This window comes from Homo sapiens, chromosome 11 (genome assembly GCF_000001405.40).
Source record: "Homo sapiens chromosome 11, GRCh38.p14 Primary Assembly".
In the NCBI taxonomy this organism is placed as follows: domain Eukaryota; kingdom Metazoa; phylum Chordata; class Mammalia; order Primates; family Hominidae; genus Homo; species Homo sapiens.
The window spans coordinates 14,612,965-14,636,741 of record NC_000011.10 but is presented as its reverse complement, the minus strand read 5'-3'; the positions used below and the strand labels follow the sequence as shown (position 1 = coordinate 14,636,741).

The 23,777-nt window shown below is 39.8% G+C and overlaps 1 protein-coding gene across 1 annotated transcript in view, besides 1 other annotated feature; it reads left to right on the top strand.

Annotated features, from left to right (window-relative positions):
• PSMA1 (proteasome 20S subunit alpha 1) overlaps positions 1-23,777 on the top strand; it is a 138,787-nt gene that overhangs the window by 6,921 nt on the left and 108,089 nt on the right. The window lies entirely within an intron of this gene.
• Positions 2,890-3,479: an enhancer, noted in NCBI's record as "OCT4-NANOG-H3K27ac-H3K4me1 hESC enhancer chr11:14654809-14655398 (GRCh37/hg19 assembly coordinates)". NCBI's record gives its function as "activates a minimal SCP1, AML or CMV promoter by ChIP-STARR-seq in primed H9 embryonic stem cells {active_cell/tissue: H9 hESC(primed)}" and the evidence as "EXISTENCE:reporter gene assay evidence [ECO:0000049][PMID:30033119]".

Sequence of the window (23,777 nt, the reverse complement as noted above, 5' to 3'; positions counted from 1 at the left end):
ATCTTGAAACCATTGAACAGGATAAGAAGTACTAGAGGAATAATTGAGAGTAAAGATTATGGATTTCCTTTTGAACAGATTGAATCCAAGTGGGAATGTTTCTTGGCCATTGGATGTATGAGTCTGAAGCTCAAGAAAACAATCTGGGCTAGAGGTATAGATTGGAAGCCTGTAGTACATATGGAGAAGTGGAACCCTGGGAGAAAAAGAGATATCCCCTATGAGAGTATATAGTGTGAGAAGAGAAGAGGATTTGTTTTTGAACTCAGGAATACAAACATGTAAGGGACAAGGAACTAAAGAATTGCTCAAAAGAATGACTGAAAAGGAAGTAGCAAAGCTAGAAAGAGAATCAGACAGGAGTGGTGTCACAAACCAAAATGAGGAAGTTTCCAGAAGGGGGACAAAAAAGCATAAAATACCACATTCTAAAAAGATGAGGACAGGAAAGTAACCACGGGTGTCAATGAAACCTGACAATGACAAGTTTCATTGTCAACCTTATGTGGAACAGTTGCCACAGTTGGGGCAGAAACCAGATTGCAGTGGATTGAGGAATGAATTAACACTTATTTTGACATTAAGAAAAGAGAGTTTCATTCTAGAAAGTTTAGCCAGGAAAAAGCTTTACCTTTAGTTTCATCATTTCTTTGTTAGTTTTAGTGTAAAAAGAAAATTTGAGTAGTTTATTGATACAATATAAAGTACACATATACCAACTTTTCTCCTGTGTAAAAAAAATAAGTTTAAAATAATGGATTCCCCTTAATGGTATACTACCTACAGTCTTCCCTACATTTCTAGAAATAGATATGATAAACCAACACTTATTTTGTATTCATAGTGCTATCCTACAAATAAGAGAGTAAAAAATATGACAGTGAGGCTACAGATTCTATATAATACAGAAACAAATATAAATGTCTAGCATAGCTCTTAGAGGTTAAAATAACTAAACAGTTATTATCTGGCTTCAATGAGTCATACAACCTTATTCTGCTTTTTTTCTCCTACCCCTTTGAAGTCAGTGAGAAATCTCCCTTTTGAAAAGATTCCGATGGTAAGATCATTGAAATGATCTTGTTCAACATTCTTTGTTTAAAATCACTATATTTTTACCAGCTCCAGAAATAATAAACAAACAACTAGATCTACTAATGAAAAGCAAAATAAAGACTTGTACATTTACAGAATTTTATTAATGTCTAGTCAGATAATTCAGGCAAAAGCAAGAGTATTTTATGTCATTTTCCTGCTAAATAACCAGGATTAACTGCAGCGCTCCAGTTCTTAACCTAACATCAATCTTCACTAGAATTATGCTTGGACTGTTCCCAGTGACAACTCTCTAGCATGGTCTGGTGCTTTGGTAACTATATTAAATGTAAGTGCAAACTGTGAAAAATAACAAGAAACCTTATATAAATTCAAGATTTTAATGCTGTATTTTGGGATGTGTAATCATGTTTGAAAGGATCACTAACATCCACTCTAACATGAACAACACTTTAAACAAATCAAAACTATGGCTCTTTAACCAGTAAACTTCATGGCTATGGCTGATTTTATTCCTTAGAGACCCTCCTTTTTACAGGTGAAACGGTTTACATCAGATTTCCTCTCATTATAGCTTCTCAAATGTTGTCCAGACCAGCAAGCCACTCTCTTTAAACAAATACCAGCCAACCAGGAAACCATGAGGTTTTATTGTGCTATAAAATAGACCAGACATTTCTAAACCTTCATAGGAATGAACCTGACTAAATCTTTACTAAAAATGGTTTCAAAATAAACTGTGGGCTCCAAGTTTCTCTAACAATCAAAATTTCTTCATCCTTCATCAATCTCACTCTCAAGCTCTTTACTCTTCCAGAGGTACACAGTGCAGTAAGTTTCTCTGGCCACATGTTCATAATAATAACTAAAGGCTCCAGTTCTGTTTACTTATTGGGATATAAGAATGAAGGGATATATTAGCTTCATTCCCTGCATACATTCACATTTGTCAAAATTCTGTTTCAAATTTTCTTGTATACTACCAGCCCCTAAAACATGAGCTACTACTTCTTGTATCATGGGCATAGAAAGCCTGAATTTTGGCTATGCACGGTGGCTCATGCCTGTAATCCCACACTTCAGAAGGCTGAGTTAGGAGAATAACTTGAGGCCAGGAGTTCAAGACTAGCCTGGGCAACATAGTGAAACCCTGTCTCTACAAAAATCACTTAAAAAAAAAAAAAGCCTAAATTTTACGAAGAATTAAGTGGAATCTTCGCCTTCAAAAAAACATATCCCCTTTCATTCCATTCAGCAAATATTTATTAATTTAAGCCCTGTCCTAGGTACCCTCGAAAAGTGTGTGTTGCATGCATTTGTGTGTTGCGTGTATGTGTACAAGTGTTGGGATAGAATCAGTTGTAAATGGTCAGTGGGGAACAAGACATACACAAATAACTGTAATACAAAATGGAATATCCAGAAACAGCAGTCCCAACCTTTTTGGCACCAACGACTGGTTTTGTGGAAGACAATTTTCCACAGACCGGGGGGGATGATTTTGGGATGAAACTATTCCATCAGAGGAGCCAAGATGGCCGAATAGGAACAGCTCCGGGTCTACAGCTCTCAGTGTGAGCGACGCAGAAGACGGGTGATTTCTGCATTTCCATCTGAGGTACCAGGTTCATCTCACTAGGGAGTGCCAGACAGTGGGCGCAGGTCAGTGGGTGTGCACACCGTGCACGAGCCGAAGCAGGGCGAGGCATTGCCTCACTTGGGAAGCGCAAGGGGTCAGGGAGTTCCCTTTCTGAGTCAAAGAAAGGGGTGACAGACGGCACCTGGAAAATCGGGTCACTCCCACCCTAATACTGCGCTTTTCCGACGGACTTAAAAAACGGCGCATCACGAGATTATATCCCGCACCTGGCTCGGAGGGTCCTATGCCCACAGAGTCTCACTGATTGCTAGCACAGCAGTCTGAGATCAAACTGCAAGGCGGCAGTTAGGCTGGGGGAGGGGTGCCCGCCATTGCCCAGGCTTGATTAGGTAAACAAAGCAGCCAGGAAGCTCGAACTGGGTGGAGCCCACCACAGCTCAAGGAGGCCTGCCTGCCTTTGTAGGCTCCACTTCTGGGGGCAGGGCACAGACAAACAAAAAGACAGCAGGAACCTCTGCAGACTTAAATGTCCCTGTCTGACAGCTTTGAAGAGAGCAGTGGTTCTCCCAGCACGCAGCTGGAGATCTGAGAACGGGCAGACTGCCTCCTCAAGTGGGTCCCTGACCCCTGACCCCCGAGCAGCCTAACTGGGAGGCACCCCCCAGCAGGGGCACACTGACACCTCACACGGCAGGGTACTCCAACAGACCTGCAGCTGAGGGTCCTGTCTGTTAGAAGGAAAGCTAACAAACAGAAAGGACATCCACACCAAAAACCCATCTGTACATCACCATCATCAAAGACCAAAAGTAGATAAAAACCACAAAGATGGGGAAAAAACAGAACAGAAAAACTGGAAACTCTAAAAAGCAGAGCGCCTCTCCTCCTCCAAAGGAACGCAGTTCCTCACCAGCAATGGAACAAAGCTGGATGGAGAATGACTTTGACGAGCTGAGAGAAGAAGGCTTCAGATGATCAAATTACTCTGAGCTATGGGAGGACATTCAAACCAAAGGCAAAGAAGTTGAAAACTTTGAAAAAAATTTAGAAGAATGTATAACTAGAATAACCAATACAGAGAAGTGCTTAAAGGAGCTGATGGAGCTGAAAACCAAGGCTCGAGAACTACGTGAAGAATGCAGAAGCCTCAGGAGCCGATGCGATCAACTGGAAGAAAGGGTATCAGCGATGGAAGATGAAATGAATGAAATGAAGTGAGAAGGGAAGTCTAGAGAAAAAAGAATTAAAAGAAATATGAAAAGACCAAATCTACGTCTGATTGGTGTACCTGAAAGTGATGGGGAGAATGGAACCAAGTTGGAAAACACTCTGCAGGATATTATCCAGGAGAACTTCCCCAATCTAGCAAGGCAGGCCAACGTTCAGATTCAGGAAATACAGAGAACGCCACAAAGATACTCCTCGAGAAGAGCAACTCCAAGACACATAATTGTCAGATTCACCAAAGCTGAAATGAAGGAAAAAATGTTAAGGGCAGCCAAAGAGAAAGGTCGGGTTACCCTCAAAGGGAAGCCCATCAGACTAACAGCGGATCTCTCGGCAGAAACCCTACAAGCCAGAAGAGAGTGGGGGCCAATATTCAACATTCTTAAAGAAAAGAATTTTCAACCCAGAATTTCATATCCAGCCAAACTAAGCTTCATAAGTGAAGGAGAAATAAAATACTTTACAGACAAGCAAATGCTGAGAGATTTTGTCACCACCAGGCCTGCCTTACAAGAGCTCCTGAAGGAAGCACTAAACATGGAAAGGAACAACCGGTACCAGCCACTGCAAAATCATGCCAAAATGTAAAGACCATCGAGACTAGGAAGAAACTGCATCAACTAACGAGCAAATTAACCAGCTAACATAATAATGACAGGATCAAATTCACACATAACAATATTAACTTTAAATGTAAATGGACTAAATGCTCCAATTAAAAGACACAGACTGGCAAATTGGATAAAGAGTCAAGACCCATCAGTGTGCTGTATTCAGGAAACCCATCTCATGTGCAGAGACACACATAGGCTCAAAATAAAAGGATGGAGGAAGATCTACCAAGCCAATGGAAAACAAAAAAAGGCAGGGGTTGCAATCCTAGTCTCTGATAAAACAGACTTTAAACCAACAAAGATCAAAAGAGACAAAGAAGGCCATTACATAATGGTAAAGGGATCAATTCAACAAGAAGAGCTAACTATCCTAAATATATATGCACCCAATACAGGAGCACCAAGATTCATAAAGCAAGTCCTGAGTGACCTACAAAGAGACTTAGACTCCCACACATTAATAATGGGAGATTTTAACACCCCAATGTCAACATTAGACACATCAATGAGACAGAAAGTCAACAAGGATACCCAGGAATTGAACTCATCTCTGCACCAAGCGGACCTAATAGACATCTACAGAAGTCTCCACCCCAAATCAACAGAATATACATTTTTTTCAGCACCACACCACACCTATTCCAAACTTGACCACATACTGGGAAGTAAAGCTCTCCTCAGCAAATGTAAAAGAACAGAAATTATAGCAAACTATCTCTCAGACCACAGTGCAATCAAACTAGAACTCAGGATTAAGAATCTCACTCAAAACCGCTCAACTACATGGAAACTGAACAACCTGCTCCTGAATGACTACTGGGTATATAACAAAATGAAGGCAGAAATAAAGATGTTCTTTGAAACCAACGAGAACAAAGACACAACATACCAGAATCTCTGGGACACATTCAAAGCAGTGTGTAGAGGGAAATTTATTGCACTAAATGCCCACAAGAGAAAGCAGGAAATATCGAAAATTGACACACTAACATCACAATTAAAAGAACTAGAAAAGCAAGAGCAAACTCATTCAAAAGCTAGCAGAAGGCAAGAAATAACTAAAATCAGAGCAGAACTGAAGGAAATAGAGACACAAAAAACCCTTCAAAAAATTAATGAATCCAGGAGCTGGTTTTTTGAAAGGATCAACAAAATTCATAGACCGCTAGCAAGACTAATAAAGAAAAAAAGAGAGAAGAATCAAATAGACGCAATAAAAAATGATAAAGGGGATATCACCACCAATCCTACAGAAATACAAACTACCTTCAGGGAATACTACAAACACCTCTACGCAAATAAACTAGAAAATCTAGAAGAAATGGATAAATTCCTGGACACATACACTCTCCCAAGACTAAACCAGGAAGAAGTTGAATCTCTGAACAGACCAATAACAGGAGCTGAAATTGTGGCAATAATCAATAGCTTACCAACCAAAAAGAGTCCAGGACCAGATGGATTCACAGCCGAATTATACCAGAGGTACAAGGAGGAACTGGTACCATTCCTTCTGAAACTATTCCAATCAATAGAAAAAGAGGGAATCCTCCCTAACTCATTTTATGAGGCCAGCATCATTCTGATACCAAAGCCAGGCAGAGACACAACAAAAAAAGAGAATTTTAGACCAATATCCTTGATGAACATTGATGCAAAAATCCTCAATAAAATACTGGCAAACCGAATCCAGCAGCACATCAAAAAGCTTATCCACCATGACCAAGTGGGCTTCATCCCTGGGATGCAAGGCTGGTTCAATATACGCAAATCAATAAATGTAATCCAGCATATAAACAGAGCCAAAGACAAAAACCAGATGATTATCTCAATAGATGCAGAAAAGTCCTTTGACAAAATTCAACAACCCTTCATGCTAAAAACTCTCAATAAATTAGGTATTGATGGGACGTATCTCAAAATAATAAGAGCTATCTATGAGAAACCCACAGCCAATATCATACTGAATGGGCAAAAACTGGAAGCATTCCCTTTGAAAACTGGCATAAGACAGGGATGCCCTCTCTCACCACTCCTATTCAACATAGTGTTGGAAGTTCTGGCCAGGGCAATTAGGCAGGAGAAGGAAATAAAGGGTATTCAATTAGGAAAAGAGGAAGTCAAATTGTCCCTTTTTGCAGACGACATGATTGTATATCTAGAAAACCCCATTGTCTCAGCCCAAAATCTCCTTAAGCTGATAAGCAACTTCAGCAAAGTCTCAGGATACAAAATCAATGTACAAAAATCACAAGCATTCTTATACACCAACAACAGACGGAGAGCCAAATCATGAGTGAACTCCCATTCACAGTTGCTTCAAAGAGAATAAAATACCTAGCAATCCAACTTACAAGGGATGTGAAGGACCTCTTCAAGAAGAACTACAAACCACTGCTCAAGGAAATAAAAGAGGATACAAACAAATGGAAGAACATTCCATGCTCATGGGTAGGAAGAATCAATATCGTGAAAATGGCCATACTGCCCAAGGTAATTTACAGATTCAATGCCATCCCCATCAAGCTACCAATGACTTTCTTCCCAGAATTGGAAAAAACTACTTTAAAGTTCATACGGAACCAAAAAAGAGCCCGCATCACCAAGTCAATCCTAAGCCAAAAGAACAAAGCTGGAGGCATCACACTACCTGACTTCAAACTATACTACAAGGCTACACTAACCAAAACAGCATGGTACTGGTACCAAAACAGAGATATAGATCAATGGAACAGAACAGAGCCCTCAGAAATAACACCGCATATCTACAACTATCTGATCTTTGACAAACCTGAGAAAAACAAGCAATGGGGAAAGGATTCCCTATTTAATAAATGGTGCTGGAAAAACTGGCTAGCCATATGTAGAAAGCTGAAACTGGATCCCTTCCTTACACCTTATATAAAAATCAATTCAAGATGGATTAAAGACTTAAACGTTAGACCTAAAACCATAAAAACCCTAGAAGAAAACCTAGGCAATACCATTCAGGACATAGGCATGGGCAAGGACTTCATGTCTAAAACACCAAAAGCAATGGCAACAGAAGCCAAAATTGACAAATGGGATCTAATTAAACTCAAGAGCTTCTGCACAGCAAAAGAAACTACCATCAGAGTGAACAGACAACCTACAAAATGGGAGAAAATTTTCGCAACCTACTCATCTGACAAAGGGCTAATATCCAGAATCTACAATGAACTCAAACAAATTTACAAGAAAAAAACAAACAACCCCATCAACAAGTGGGCGAAGGACATGAACAGACACTTCTCAAAAGAAGACATTTATGCAGCCAAAAAACACATGAAAAAATGCTCATCATCACTGGCCATCCGAGAAATGCAAATCAAAACCACAATGAGATACCATCTCACACCAGTTAGAATGGCAGTCATTAAAAAGTCAGGAAACAACAGGTGCTGGAGAGGATGTGGAGAAATAGGAACACTTTTACACTGTTGGTGGGACTGTAAACTAGTTCAACCATTGTGGAAGTCAGTGTGGCGATTCCTCAGGGATCTAGAACTAGAAATACCATTTGACCCAGCCATCCCATTACTGGGTATATACCCAAAGGACTATAAATCATGCTGCTATAAAGACACATGCACACGTATGTTTATTGCGGCATTATTCGCAATAGCAAAGACTTGGAACCAACCCAAATGTCCAACAATGATAGACTGGATGAAGAAAATGTGGCACATATACACCATGGAATACTATGCAGCCATAAAAAAGGATGAGTTCATGTCCTTTGTAGGGACATGGATGAAATTGGAAATCATCATCCTCAGTAAACTATCGCAAGAACAAAAAACCAAACACCGCATATTCTCACTCATAGGTGGGAATTGAACAATGAGATCACATGGACACAGGAAGGGGAATATCACACTCTGGGGACTGTTGTGGGGTGGGGGGAGGGGGGAGCGACTAGTTGGGAGATATACCTAATGCTAGATGACAAGTTAGTGGGTGCAGCGCACCAGCATGGCACATGTATACATATGTAACTAACCTGCACAATGTGCACGTGTACCCTAAAACTTAAAGTATAATAAAAAAAAAAGAAAAACTATTCCATCTCAGATCATCAGGCATTAGATGGAGCATGCAACCTAGATCCCTTGCATGCGCAGTTCACAAAAGGATTCATGTTCCTATGAGAATCTAATGCCTCTGCTGATCTGACAGGAGGTGGAGCTCAAGCGGTAAGGCTCACTCATCTGCCACTCACCTCCTGTTGTGCAGCCTGGTTCCTAACAGGCCATGGACCAGTACCAGTGTGGGGGTTGAGGATCCCTGTCCTAAAAGATAGCCAAATTGCAATGAGGATCAGGATGGGTGACATAAAGTAGATGAGATTTAAAATCTGTCTTAAAGGATGGGTAGGATTTAGATATAAGAGAGGATGGCATTGCAAGGAAGAAAAAAGGCATAAAAATGAAAGTGTTCATGAAATCATTGTTTTATCAGAATATAAAGTATGAGAATGATAACAATAAAAATATTATGAAGCAACTACAGCATGTGAGGTCCTCTAAGCCTCTTATTCTCATCCTCACAACAATCTGCCAGTAGAAATAATAATCCTCATTTTTACAACACATGGGACAATTGAGATTAAGTAATTTGTAGGGCAGAAAGATTAAGTAATTTGTCAAAGATTACACATCTAGTAGTTGGTGGAGCCAGGATTTGAACCCAGGCCATGGAACTCCAAAGCTCTATGTGCTTTCCGTTATAACAGTAATTGTTAAACTTTGGTACACAAGAACCATCCAGATAACTTTTACCCAGATGATAAAAATGCAGTTGCTGAATGCTAACCCCAGAGATTCTGATTCATTAAACCCGAGATGGGACTGAGGAATCTGCATTTCTACCAAGCACCTCAAGTAACCCTGAGGCAGGAGGTCTAGGAACCACATTATCCTGAGGTAGACCAGCATAGTTTCGAATAGACCCTGGAATGGATTTGAACATACTTAATGATGAGTGTTATGGATGAAACTGTGTTCATTCAAAATTTGAATTTTGAAACCCTAACCCCAGTGTGTCTGTATTAGGAAATGGAGCCTTTAAAGAGGTAATTAAGGTTAAATGAAGTCCTAATGGTGGGGCACTAATCCAATATGACTTATGTCCTTATAAGAAGAGGAAGAGACACCAGGGATGGAGAAAAAAAACTTATGAAGACACAGCAAGAAGGGGGCTATCTGAAAGCTAAGGAGAGAAGCCTCAGAAGAAACCAACCGTGCCAGCACCTTGATCTTGAACTTCTAGACTTTCTAGCCTCCAGAACTGTGATCAAATAAAGTTCTGTTGTTTAAGCTACCCAATCTATGGTGTTTTGTTATGGAAGCCCTAGTAGAGTAATACAGTGAGTTAAATTAACTTCCTGCTTATCCTAAGCTATTTACATCTGTCATATATCAGGAGCTGTCCTAAAAAAGATCCCTAATTATCATCGCTATCATAAAAATTCACATTTATATGGCATTTTATAATTTACAAAGCCTTTTCACGTGCTCTGTTACACTTGAACTTTGCAACAGCCTACAGGGTAACCAAAACTCAATAAGGCAATAGGACTTGCCCAGGTTTCTTACAAGTTGTAGAGCTGAGTTCAGGTCTCTTTACTCCAAATCTTATGCTGATTTTTTCTACATCAGACATCACACACTTCATGATGTGCATGCACACACATCATGAAGTATGATTAATATATAAGAGACCCATCTAAGGATATGTCTTTCTTTAGCTCTAGAGAGTAAATACCTTTACTTGATTTTCTAGTTACATAAGATACGGTTTCAAGAATTTAAGAGATGTGCCAAAACGGTAATAGCATAGATAAGATAAGAATAGGTACAAGATTCCTAATGTTCAGTTCTCTTTTCAAACAATTGACTAGGCAGTAACAAAATGGTCTCATTTATATGAATTAAGATTATGCTTTTGCTCCTTCAGGGCACACTTGAGTGATTTTCTAGTAGTGTTTTGCTCAAATGCCAAGTGTTATAAATTTGTAGACTGCCAGACTGTACAAAAGATTATCACTTAAGTAATAATAAAAACTGTAAATAGGGAAAAAAAAAAAGTGAAAGAACAGTTAGAGATAGAGGAAGTGATTCCTTTACTTTCATTTTATTTTCCAGCACTTCCTCTTTAAGTTAGCAAAAATAACGTTTTTTGAATTGGCATTTGCAGAAAACAGTTCATAGAACACAGTCAACATTGTATACTACATTTCTGTAGATCCAGTACAGGAGGTAGATTCTAAGTCTGTCTTCTTCATACCCTACCATTTTATCGTTAGCTAAGGTCTTATTCCCTGGTGGCACTGTGTTAGTTTGTATCCTCTGAGAAACAAATGCCAAAACAGAATTAGACGTGCAAGTGACTTATTGTGGAAAGTGCCTATGAAAGATAAATGGAAGATAGCCAGAGGAAGTGGAGAGAGCCTTCAGACTGTGATGCAAGTCTCACAATAGGGAAAGTGGGGAAAGGAAGGAGGATTAGGTAGAAAGAGCCTTATACTACAGCATCATTCTAAGAAAGTGTCAACCAGGCCAATGTGAGGTCCTCAAGCCAAAGTCTCCTATTAAAAGGAGTCCCTCATCTCACAGGAATGGGCCTACATTATACCCTTGCTGTTACTGACTAGGAGAAGCCCAAAAGAAGTATTGCCTCAGTACTGAAACAGGGGTGGATCCAGAAGAGTAATGGTCCAGTAGTCAATTATGTTCCCTATAGCAGAAGATTTGAGTGACAAATTTTCTTTTTTGAGATGGAGTTTCACTCTTTTTGCCCAGGCTGGAGTGCAGTGGCACAATCTCAGCTCACTGCAAACTTTGCCTCCCGGGTTCAAGTGATTCTCCTACCTCAGCCTCCCAAGTAGCTAGGATTACAAGCACACACCACCAAACCCAGCTAATTTTGTATTTTTGGTAGAGATAGGGTTTCACCATGTTGGCCAGACTGGTCTCAAACTCCTGACTTCAGGTGATCTGCCTGCCTTGGCCTTCCAAAATGCTGGGATTACAGGCATGAGTTACCACACCCAGGCTGAATGACAAATTTTCTTGATTGCCACAGTCCACCTCTTTCTCTGGACAGATCTGCTTCTCTATGCAAATTTAGGGAACACATCCTCCATGTTTCCTATGGGCTTTTCTTCCTGAGGGAAAACTTAGAAGGAAGTTAGTGAGATGAACTGGAGCCCCATTGCTGCAGTTGGGCTTGAGACTGCAACAAGGTACTTAACTTCTCCCACCTCTATTATCCATTCCAAGTCCTCTCAACCCTCAGCTATCACCTTGGCAAGTAATGGTAGCTTACCTTGTGGTGTGACCCAAACCTTCATTCCTGATGGGTCTGAGCTCTTGGCAGTCATACCCTTTTCAAGTCAGGGTCGTTGTACATGTCCTTTCACAGCTACAGTGGGCCAAAGGAGTACCAGCAGGCTTCCAAGTAGATGACATAGGAGTTGCATACATATTCCTATCCTTATTGTCTATAAGCAGCACTACCTTCTCCCAATGATCAGGGTTGATTACCCCTGCCAAGATGTGACCCTATTCTTGCCTGCAGGTCTCTGGACATGAGGTGTCCAAACTGCCCTGGCAGTATCTATAACATATAGTTCAATGAGACACTCACTGTCCCCTGGCAAGAGTGCACTCCCTCTCGGGACCTCCAGCCCTGCAGAGCCCAGAGTTGCACATATGGGGAGCCCAAAATCCCCCATTGAGAGTTATTGGGAGTGATGGTAGATAGGGCTAGTCCTGATTACACCCATCGATGGCCATTGTGTTCCTCCTGCTGATGACATGGTACCATATAGAGGTCTCTGAGTTAGCTCAGATCCCCATGTCATCTACCACAGTTGCAACAGCATCCCTTTCCCAGTTGGTACCTTTGGCTAAAATGGGGCTAGAGGAAAGGGTTCCCATACGACCAGCTAAAGGAAGAAGAATAATCCTGAGCTTCTCTCTGCAAAGGATGGCACTGCCTCCTTTGAGAGTGTTGCTTCTGAGCTGACGTTTCAGCTGTGCCTTTAGATAGCTGTTCCAGTGTTCTGTGAAGTTGGCTACTTCTAAATGATTTTGTTGTAGAAGATATAGCTAGAGCTCCCATGGTCATGAGTTCAATCCTGCATCTCCTTTACTGTGAAATGGGTCACCTGTTCAAATGTTTTTTGTGTGGTATTCTATACCCATAGATCAGACATTCTTTAAGCCCCTGGATTATGGTGCTGGCTAAGGTACTACAATCAGGAAAGACAAGCCTGTACCCAGAATAGGTGAAAACAACCCTCTAGCCCTTGTAGTTGACTTACCACCAAGTGGCCAGTTGGTCTCATTAATAAATAGTGATATAACAGCATTGATCTCTGTTGCTGACAGGTTGGACATTCAGAAGCAGCAGAAGCTAGGTCAGCTTTGGTGATGGGAGGTCCATGCTCCTGGGCCCATGCATAGCCTGTCTCTGGCAGCATGGCCACTTTTTTCTTATGCCAAAATGTCAGTTTCAGGGTAGCCAACAACAAAGACTGGCTTATATAAACTGGTCTGGTTATTATATCTGCTTCACTGTTCACAATCTCTTCCATGGTAGATGCTTTCTATTGGGCCATAATATGTCACACTAAACTCTTCATGTTTACCTGCATACCTCTACCCCAGAACTCCTTCTCTAAAATCTTTCAATTATTTTCTTTCCAGGCCCCGACCAGACAGCCAGGACATTGGCTATTTCCCAAGTCTATATATACTGGGCCACTTCTCATTCCACAAGAAGTCAATGACTAGGTGCACTTTTTACAGATCCACGCACTGGGAAGATTTTCCCTCTCCACTGTCTTTCAAGGCTATCCTTGAATGTGGTTGTAATGCAGCCATGGTCCATTTTGAGCTTGTACTCACATACAGAACAGACCCACCCAAAAATCAAGCTTAAGCTTTCCTTCTACTTCAGTTGGTCTTACGGGGCCCCCATATGGCCATAGGAACAAGCTAGGGAAGGGTGTTATTTCAGCTGTTGTGAATGACATGCTGGTCTGAGCTACCTGCGCATGCAATTTGCCATGTCCTTTGTCCTTCTCAGGCTCAATCCTTGATGTAATTTTCCATATTAAAGTAGACTACTGCTGGACCTATACAGCCTTGTGATTTAACATATCCAGCAGAACCAAACTTGTAATGTGCAGTTCTAGACCCATGGTCACTTTGTGCCCCATGGTGAAGCACTCTGCCTCTACCAGTCCCAGTAATTCACCAAGAGCTTTTTCTCAAAAGACATATAATTCTATGCTACAAATGGCATAGCCTTGCCCCAGAATTCCAGGGCCCTATGTTGTTATTCTCCCAATGATACTTGCCGTAAGACACTGCATGTTTTCCCACCACTGTCACCTACACCATGAGATGTGCTGGATTGTATGCCCCAAGTGGCAGCTCTGTTTGCAGTGCAGCCTGGACCTCTTCACTCAAAGCTGGCAACTTTCTATGTCACTCAATCTAGCAGTATTCATAGGTTTGGAATACGCCGCCTCCAGAACCCAAAGAGGCCTACCAGCCACTTCATTTCCTTCTTTGTGGTGGCACACGCAAGATGCAGCAATTTTCTTTTACTTTGAAGGGGATATCTTGTCATGTTTATGACCATTGCATTCCTAAAACACTTCATTGAAGTTTCAAATCCCTGAATCTTCATAGGATTTATTTCCAACCCTCTGGAACACTGTGTCTTACCAAGGCCTTTAGCATACTAGTGCCTTCTTGCTCATTCTAAACAATCAGCATAATGTCATCAATGTAATGTATCAGACGAATGTTCAGGCAGTCCAGATTTCTTCAGAGTATATTATGACAGAAGGCAGGAACATTAACATAGCTCTAAGTCAAAAGTGTAATTGAAAATTATTATCTAACCCACAGGAATGTGAACTGTTTCTGATCCTCTCTTCTAATTGGAATAGAAAAGAATGTATTTATCATATCAGTTGCCACATACCATGTGCCTGAGACCTCATTAATCTGTTCTATTAATCACACAGTGTCCGGCAAAGCAACTGCAATTGGGGCTACTAATTGCTTGACTCCGAACTCCTGAAAGTCTGCATAGGTACCCAGTCTTACATACTTTTCTGTCTAGAGCATCTAGGACCTAGCAGGTATTCTATATGTATTTTATGAATGGATTAATAAATTCAGTATGACATTCAAGAAGATGCCTACTAACAGGTTGATTTAGCTGATGACCCTAGCTCATAGGGTTATGAGGATTAAATGAGTTACTAAATGGAAAGTGTTTACAATAGTGTCTGGCACATAAAAAGCATTCAGTAAATCTTATCAATTGTATTTTTCCAGGCCGCAGAGAACCATCAGATATGATAGAGAGATTGACATTAAGCTAACTCCTTGACCATAAGTTTAAATGAAACATGAGAGACATGTGTTGGCCTTTAAAGTGAAAGAGTCTGCAATATTTTTCTGAGAATGTGAGGTTTCCAAGGAAAACTCAAAAGAAAACTGATTGTAAAGCTGGAAAGAAAGAATTACTTATAGAAACAGACACTTTCATAGCTAGTGGAGAGAAAAAGGTGGTTACTATGTGCCAATTCATTACTAGCATTGCTATATTTAGGATAATTTTGAGGGCCAAATGTGGTGGCTCATGCCTGTAATCCCAGCTCTTTAGGAGGCCAAGGTGGGAGGACAGCTTAAGCCCAGCAGTTTGAGACCAGCCTGGGCAACATAATGGGACCCCATCTCTACAAAAAAAACAAAACAAAACATTGAAAATTAGCTGGGGGTGGTGGCGCATGCCTGTAGTCCCAGCTACTCTGGAGGCTGAGCCCAAGAGGTTGAGGCTGCAGTGAGCTATGATGGTGCTACTGCACTCCAGCTGGGTGACGGAGGGGTCTCAAATTAAAAAAAAAAAGAAAAGAAAAGAAAGATAATTTCAGAAAAATCTCAAAGTTAAAATTTTTGACAAATGCTTTTTACTAATAAAGCAAAACATGATCTTGAAATAAAATGAATGAGTGCAATTATGCCCACTAGCCATTTCACAAAAATGGTGTTTTCCATTACCTAAATGACTATTTCCATATAAAAATTAATTAAAAGTACACTCACAGTTTTCATCTCTGACATAGGTCAATGTAACAGCTAATACAGGAAAATGAAAAGGTATAATAACAGGACATACACACCCCTACTCTTCATTAGAAGAAAAAAGAATATTTTTTCTTGTATAATACTGTGATTTGAGAGGCCTTAAAGCTGCTATTCTCTGACATTAGCTTTGTGGTCAAATTTAAAATGATCTTGATAACTCTCAGGAAACCCCAAGTCTCATAAAACTTTCCCAACAATTTTCACAATGAGAGCTGTGAAATAATTTCAGGGTCTCTAGGAAAGAATCCACACTTGCTACTTTTAAGAAAGCTAGGAAGTGGGTTGTTGGACAAGATCTAAACATGAATTCTTTCATCTACAAAAAAAGTTGAGCCACTATGAAGAATTTCCAGTGGCCACTCTGTTATCAATATCTCACAACTAGGTCTAGACGACCTCAAAACTTGGGAAATTGCTTTGCTGCTTTATTGCCAGTATCTCTGTCTTTACAGAGCCTTCCAGAATAGAATCACTAGATTGAATTTATTCCTCCAGTAAGTCAGTTGCTTATTAGCACTTTTAACATCCAGATGGTTTGAGACAAAGGCTAAACCAGGGATAATTCCCAAGTATAAACAGTGGAAACTCTCTTTTGCTGAGGGACTCTAGTCTACTGGGCTATGGGCCAGGGCATGGGTTTCTTTTGCAACATCCCAACACTGCTGTGGCCTTTTCTATAACCCTTGCAAGTGAAGTCACCTGAAAAGCCAAGAGTTAAACTGGCTGTACAGTCTGAACTGTGAAGTTTGGAAATAAATTCAAATGGACCAATAGCCTGGATCTGTTTCATGAATAAACAGAGGAGTTCAGGCTTAGGACCCTATAAAGTTAAGTCAATATTAGTTATAGAGGAAATCCTGTTTGTTCTTCTTCTGTTGTAATTGTCTTTTTAAAAAGAACTCAGGTAGAGCTTTGGGGTATGTTATAATGCTCAAAACATCCTTTAAACATACACATACACATACACACACACACACACGCACACACACACGAGTGTTTATAACCAAGAAGAAAGCAAATCACTGTTGTCCTTACTGTTAGGTACACGAGAATTAAAAGTGTTTGCTCAATATCCTTAAAAAATACAACTTAAAATGCCCTAACTTATGAAATGGGAAATACTTATCTAGGTTCTGATGCCATATAGTCACCTTATCATGATTATTACAATAAAGATAAGTAAGTGATTGCTATTAAAGCCCTTTAGTTATGCTGATTTGGCACAAATTTTTCCCAGTACTCATCACCTAGAAATTACACATAACAAGGTCTGAGTAATCCAGTGTTTAAACTTTGAGGGTACTAAGAGAGTGATTTCTAACCTCTTTGAAATTATGACACCCTATTTTGCCCGTTAGACATCACAACTCTTGCTCCTGTTATACTGTCTCCACACACTCAAGGAAAGCAATCTATTATATGATATAAAAAACACTTAAATGAATTTAAATTAATCTTAATTTCTTCAGGCTTTTACTTGTTTTTCTTTATAATTACCTCTTCTTTGAAGCTGAGTCACCCTAGGTTTAAGCCAGAATTAACCTCTCCTCTTCGTGTATTCTTTTAGCTCTTTATGTGGTATAAATCTATATTACAGATTTTTTTTTTGAGACAGGATCTCTCTCTGTCACCCAGGTTGGAGTTCAGTGGCACTATCTCAACTCACTGAAGTGTCGATCTCCTGGCTCCCCTACTTCAGTTTACCAAGTAGCTGGGACCACAGGTGTGCACCACCACACTCAGCTAATTTTTTTTATTTTTGTAGAGGCAAGTTTTCGCCATGTTGCCCGGGCTGGTCTTGAACTCCTGAGCTCAAGCAATCTGCTTGCCTCCGCCTCCCAAAGTGCTGGGATCACAGGCGTGAGCTGCCATGCCCAGCCTATATTACAGTATTTTTAAATCATATTTTTGTTGATTAATTTTAAGTCTTTCCCCCTGGCTTAAATGTAAGGGCCATGTTTATTCATCTTTTTTCCAGAATTTCTAGCACAGTGCTTAATACAAAGGGAGATTCAATACATGCTAGATGAAGGAATAATGAATGAATGCACAATGGCTGTGGAGGCAGAAATATACCAGCATGTCAAAAATATCAACCCAAGAATTATTATTCTAGTAGCTTAAAGATATGCCTGTATAAGATCATCTGTTACAGAACTTAAATCCAGTGAGAAAATGGATGCAAAAATACTTTATAAACTGTAAAATCATACACAAATGTGAGCAAATGTCACTGTTACTTACTGTTTAGTATCCTTCAGGGAATAGTTTCTGAATTTGTGAATCAAACTTTGAAAAACAGTATGAACTTAACTCATTGGAATAGTAGGACCATGAAAGGAATAATAAATGGAAGCCAGTTAACAACAAGTTGTCATTTGTCTATAATGTAATGCAGTAGGAGTTCAGTTTTGGAAAACCAGGCCTTGGTGACATCTTTAAAATACTAATTTTTGTGTCCTGGTTTATAAATGACAATTCCTTTAGATGCTTAGGATTTGGATAATTCCATATAGTATTCCCAGAAATATGTGTTACCAGGTACAAAACATACAGGCTTGATTGTTCAAGGAAACATGTATTACATTTGGATAACTCTACTGAGAGGCTAAAATAACTGATTCATTTTTGAAGTGACCATTGATAGTAAACTTCAGCAGTTCTAGAAGAGGCAATAAACATATCAGGGCAATTTGACAGGCTACTGTGGTTCAAACAGATGTTAGTGGTAGCCAAAGTTCACAAATTATGTCAATGAAGCTGGATTCCATTAAGTCAATCAGTAACTAAGGAAATAGTTAATTGAGATACAATCACAAGCTAGAAAAGCAGGATAAATTAAAGAAGTAAGAGGAATAATCACATTTCTCGATAATTACATGCTATCAGACAGCAGAATCTGATGTCTGGAAGATAAAGCAGGCATATTTCAAAAATGGAAAAGGAGGCCATAGGCTAGAGCATGAGTAATTCCATAAAAGCGGTCAAATGGGAATCTTTCTGAAAAGCAAATGATGTCCTCACAGAAGGAAATTGCCTAAAAACTACTAGAACATAGTTTCTATGCTACAAACATAATCTGGCCAAAGTCATCAGCTAGTAAGTTGCAAAATAGATTTTCAAAACCAGGTTGACACCAAAGCCCATGTCCTCCACACTGTACTTCTCTCTCCTAGGCAAGGAATAATCAAGGTATGTGCCAAGCTCCCAGGCTGTGTTGTTCCTTACACCTCTCCTGATTCCAGTTTCAGTAAAGCCATGAGTCACAGCAGCGGTAACAGTAAGAAGCTTTCAGCTTGTCCAGCTCACTTGTTAACCCCATATACACACACACACACACACACACACATATATATATATACGTATATATATGTATATATATATTTCAAAAAAAAAGGACAATAAAGAGGCTGAAGATGAACTCAAACCAAGTAGCTGATTTTCTGAAGCAGCTAACCTATTTCTGAGCTAACAGTCTTAGTGTGTATTAAATTCTTACTTCTGTATTCTCTCAGAATTAGAGAGAAATGTCTATTCACTCTTTCATTTAACAAGCAATTATTGAGTGCTTACCCTGTGCCAGTCACTGGAGAAACAGAGATTAATAGAAAAAGATTTCTGCTGTTAAGAATCACATGGTTGAGGAAGGAAGGGGGAAGTAGAAACAGACAAGCAAATGATTATAGTACAATGTAGCATTGATATTGAGAACTAAAAAAAGAAATTAACAGTAATAAATATAGGGATGCTACATTGGGGGAAATATCCCTTCCCAATTTTTGGTGTTTCCTTCCAGATGGAGAAGATTCCACTAGTGTGGTATTCCCTAAACTTTGTCCACCCCTCAACTCTTTCCTTCCCAGAGAAGGAGAAATTACTTAATCTGATTGATTAGTATGAAAAAAGAAAGTGGGCATGCAACACAAGCCCCTTATTTTCTCCCTCCACACCCACTCTCAGCAGGCAGCCTGAAAAGAAGATAACTTCTGTTCTTCCATGCCCTGTGTTTTTCACAGACTGGCTTCATGTAAGGAAGCCTAGAGAAGTCCAGCACTGTCTGTGACTAGGGGTTCACTATTAGGAATCCCTTTTGTTCATAGATACAAACGACATTCTCCACCATCAGTTTAATCTGTACTAAATGTGTTATTTCTCAAGAGGCAATATAATGTAGTGGTTAGGTGCATAGACTCTGGAGCCAAACTGGTTCATACCCTGGGTTTGCTACTTAATAATAGCCATGAGACTTTGGGTCAGTTGCTTAACCTCCCTGGGGCTTCAATTTCTCCACCTACAAAATAGGGCTAATAGTATCTACTCACAGGATGATGTGAGGATTAAGTGATTTAACATATCTAAAGCACATAGAACAGTGCCTGTTACAAAATAACTTCTCCAGAAGTTTGAGCTATCATTACTATTATTATTATTTTAACCTTTATCTATTGTAATCTTATTTCTCAATTTGTTGAAAACTCAAGCAGGAAAAAGTGTTATTAATATTTATTGGGATCTGATCGGGCACAGTGGTTCACACCTGTAGTCTTAGCACTTTGGAAGGCCGAGGCAGGCAGATCATTTGGGTCAGGAGTTCGAGACCAGCCTAGCCAACATGGTGAGACCTCCATCCCTACTAAAAGTATAAAAATTAGCCGGGCATGGTAGTGCTTGCCTGTAATCACAGCTACTCAGAGGCTGAGGCACAAGAATAGTTTGAGCCTGGTAGGTGAAGGTTGCAGTGAGCCAAGATGGCACCATGCACTCCAGCCTGGGTGACAGAGCAAGACTCTGTCTCAAAAAAAAAAAAAAAAAAAACTGTTGGGATCCTCCAACTCTCACCTCCAATAGTTAGGGAAGTTTAAGAAATCTTACACAGTTCTTACAGTCGTTGCCCTTTTGTTTATAGTTCTTGGCTCTTTACTGGATGAAATTTGGAAGATTGTATCAGTAGGTGCCAGATGCCAGGCCAAGCATCTCAGACTTCAGCCCAAATTGGTTTGAGGTTGATGCCTCTGATTTCCATGGGTAAGGCAGGCAGGCAGCTCTTTACTTGATTCTCAAAGATTAATCCCATGTCCCTCAGGTTATCTGCACATTCTAGAGATCCCCTCTTGCTCTGGCCTCTGCGTGTCCTACTGCGGTCTTTGCAAAACCCTCCTAGGAAGAGAAGGCTCTTTCCCACCTAGTCACAATGATTCTTTCCCTGGATTCAGATCTGCCTTTCAGGAGTTCAATGAGGGAAACAAACAGGTAGGCTAAAACAATTGGAATACAAAGTATTAAGTACAGTTAAAAAGAGATCTAAATGGTACCACAGAAGTGGACCAGTCAGGACAGGAAACAGATGGCATACTGAAAAGGAGTGATTAAAGAGAGTTTAATAAGGAATTTATTTACAAAGGTATAGGCAGTTAAGGACAGTGAAGCATCAACAGTGAAAATTGCTCCTACACCTAGGCCTGAAGAAACAAAGGGAAAGAGCTATTACCAAACTTCAGAAAGCAAGCTATAGGAGAGAGCTACCTCACAGGAACTCTGTTTCAGGTAATGCAGCCCCTGCCAATCCAAGGCCTGGAAGAGAGGGATGTAGGAAAATATTACAATTGTACTCTTCTGTCCTCTGAGTTTCTTTCAGCGTGTCCCACTGTTCAAATCTACCAGAAAGTCAGAGGACAAGGAAACCTGTTACTGTCATCCAAAGAGGTCAACCTCTGAGGACGCAGGGCAAGTAGAGAATGCTGGAGAGGGGATCTCAAGTGGCCAGCAAAGAACAACCCAGCACAGAAGCGAAGGGACTAACACTTTCTTAAGATTTCATAAAAGACCTTTTAAAGGAGGTTATATTTGAGATAGGCACTGAAGGATAAGTAGGGGTTTACCAAATAGAGAAGTGAATAAGACATTTTAGGCAAAAGGATAGCATTGTCAATATCTCATAGATATACAAAAGAACTTGCATGGGCTATATATTCAGACAAGCAATCCCATTTGGCAGAAGCACATGATGCTTTTGGAGAGATGGGTCTGAAAAGAAAAGTTAGGATCAGATTATAAAGGCTCTTAAGTGCCATGCTAAAATGACTGGACTCGATCCTGTAGTTAATGAGGATCCGCTCAGAAACTTTCAGAGAAAGAGAGTGACATGAGCATAGTTTAAGTTAGAAAAAGATCCCTCCAATGGCAGTGTAAAGGATGGACTAGAGTACTGAAAGACTAAAGGCAGGAAGATCATTTTGGGGATCTTTGCCATAGTCCAGGCAAGATAAAGGTGAATGGAACTAAAGCAGTGGCAGTGATAAGGAAGCAAAGATTCTAGGCATTTTCTGAAGATTTAATGAACAGAACTGGATGACCTAGTAACTATGAGGAATGCAGAAAAAGGCAGGCTCTAGATGAGAATCAAATTTCTAGCTTGAGAAACTAGATCGATGGTGGTACTATTAATTAGGAGAGAAAATTCAAGCAGAGTAGCTTTGTGTGAGACTGCATGGATTTCATCTTTCTGCGTACTGAGTTTATTATGCCTATGGATCACTAACAGAAATATCTAGTTGGCAATGAACAGTAGAAGGCCAGGCTCTGAAGAGAGATCTAGGAGCCAGATATACAGTCTGAAGAAGAACAATTCATTATTTGGGGTTTTTTTTTTCAGCTTATATGAAACATATTCACCAAATTTTTCTCAACCTCTGTAACAAAGGAAAAAATGTTACTCATCATATAATGAAATAAACCACAGAGTTAGAAATAAATCCACTGATGACACTTCTTACCAGGGGAGAGTTTTTCATCTGTTTGTTAATAATAGAAACTCCTAACTCAGAATTGCATGGTAGTTTAGGAGTATTTTTTAAAAAAACAAACAACCCTCAGTTTTTAAAACTGAGTACTGTTTGCTTGTTATATTTAACACTTGGTTATTTTGTAAATAATATCCAAATTTTCCATGAAAGCTTCATTTTATTATTTAAACCCATATCCCAGTGACATGCAATTGTTCTTCAACTGAGACATTTGATAATACTGTGACAAGCAGAGTTCTTTTCTCATAGTAAGTTCAATATAAATATTTACTGGATGAATGGATAGGTAGAAGGATAAATGAAAGCAGCAGAGTGTGATAAAGTAATTTTGATTTTGTTATAAATGTGATATTCATATATAAATGTATGAAAAACTGTAATCAAGAGAATTACAAATGGTCTACTTTTGTTTCATTTGTGGAAGATGCCAGAATTATTTAGACAACTGCCTGTTTCTCCTTTGTGTCCAGAGGCCTCAACCACCTTACTTAAAAAGAACTGAAATACTGTTCTTCCAGTTCTTTGCTGTATAAAATGAGCACAGGTATAGGGTTTCACTACTTTACTTCTTTTGTGTAATTTCCTACATAATTATTTTGAAATCTCAGAAATATAGTTCTGATTATCTGAAACCAATGGAAGTCTGTCCTTAATACCACATAATGAGGCACAGTAGAACCAGTTGATTTTTGGCTGGGCACAGTGCTCACGCCTATAATCCCAGCACTTTGGGAGGCCGAGGTGGGCAGATCACCTGAGGTCAGAAGTTTGAGATCAGACTGGCCAACATGGTGAAACCCCGTCTCTACTAAAAATACAAAAAATTTAGCTGGGCATGTTGGTGCACACCTGTAATCCCAGCTACTTGGGAATCTGAGACATGAGAATCACTTGAACCTGGGAGGCAGAGGTTGCAGTGAGCCGAGATGGTGCCACTGCAGTCCAGCCTGGGCACCATCTCGGCTCACTGCAACCTCTGCCTCCCTGGAGCAAGACTCCATCTCAATTTTTAAAAAAAAATTGATTTTTAACTCCTAACTTTATACATGACCAATATGTGACTTAATAAACCTATTTAAAATTATTGACTTTATTACTGTATTTTACATTATTAACTTTATTACAGACTTTATTTGTTAAAATCCTCTATTCAAAATAACTTTAGAAAAAATGTTCTGCTTTGGTGGTTGTCCATCCAGTGAAATTTGGAATGAGTCATTAATACACTGCATAACCATGTTCCTTCCCTATCTCCATCTTAATGTAGTTCCTTGTCTTC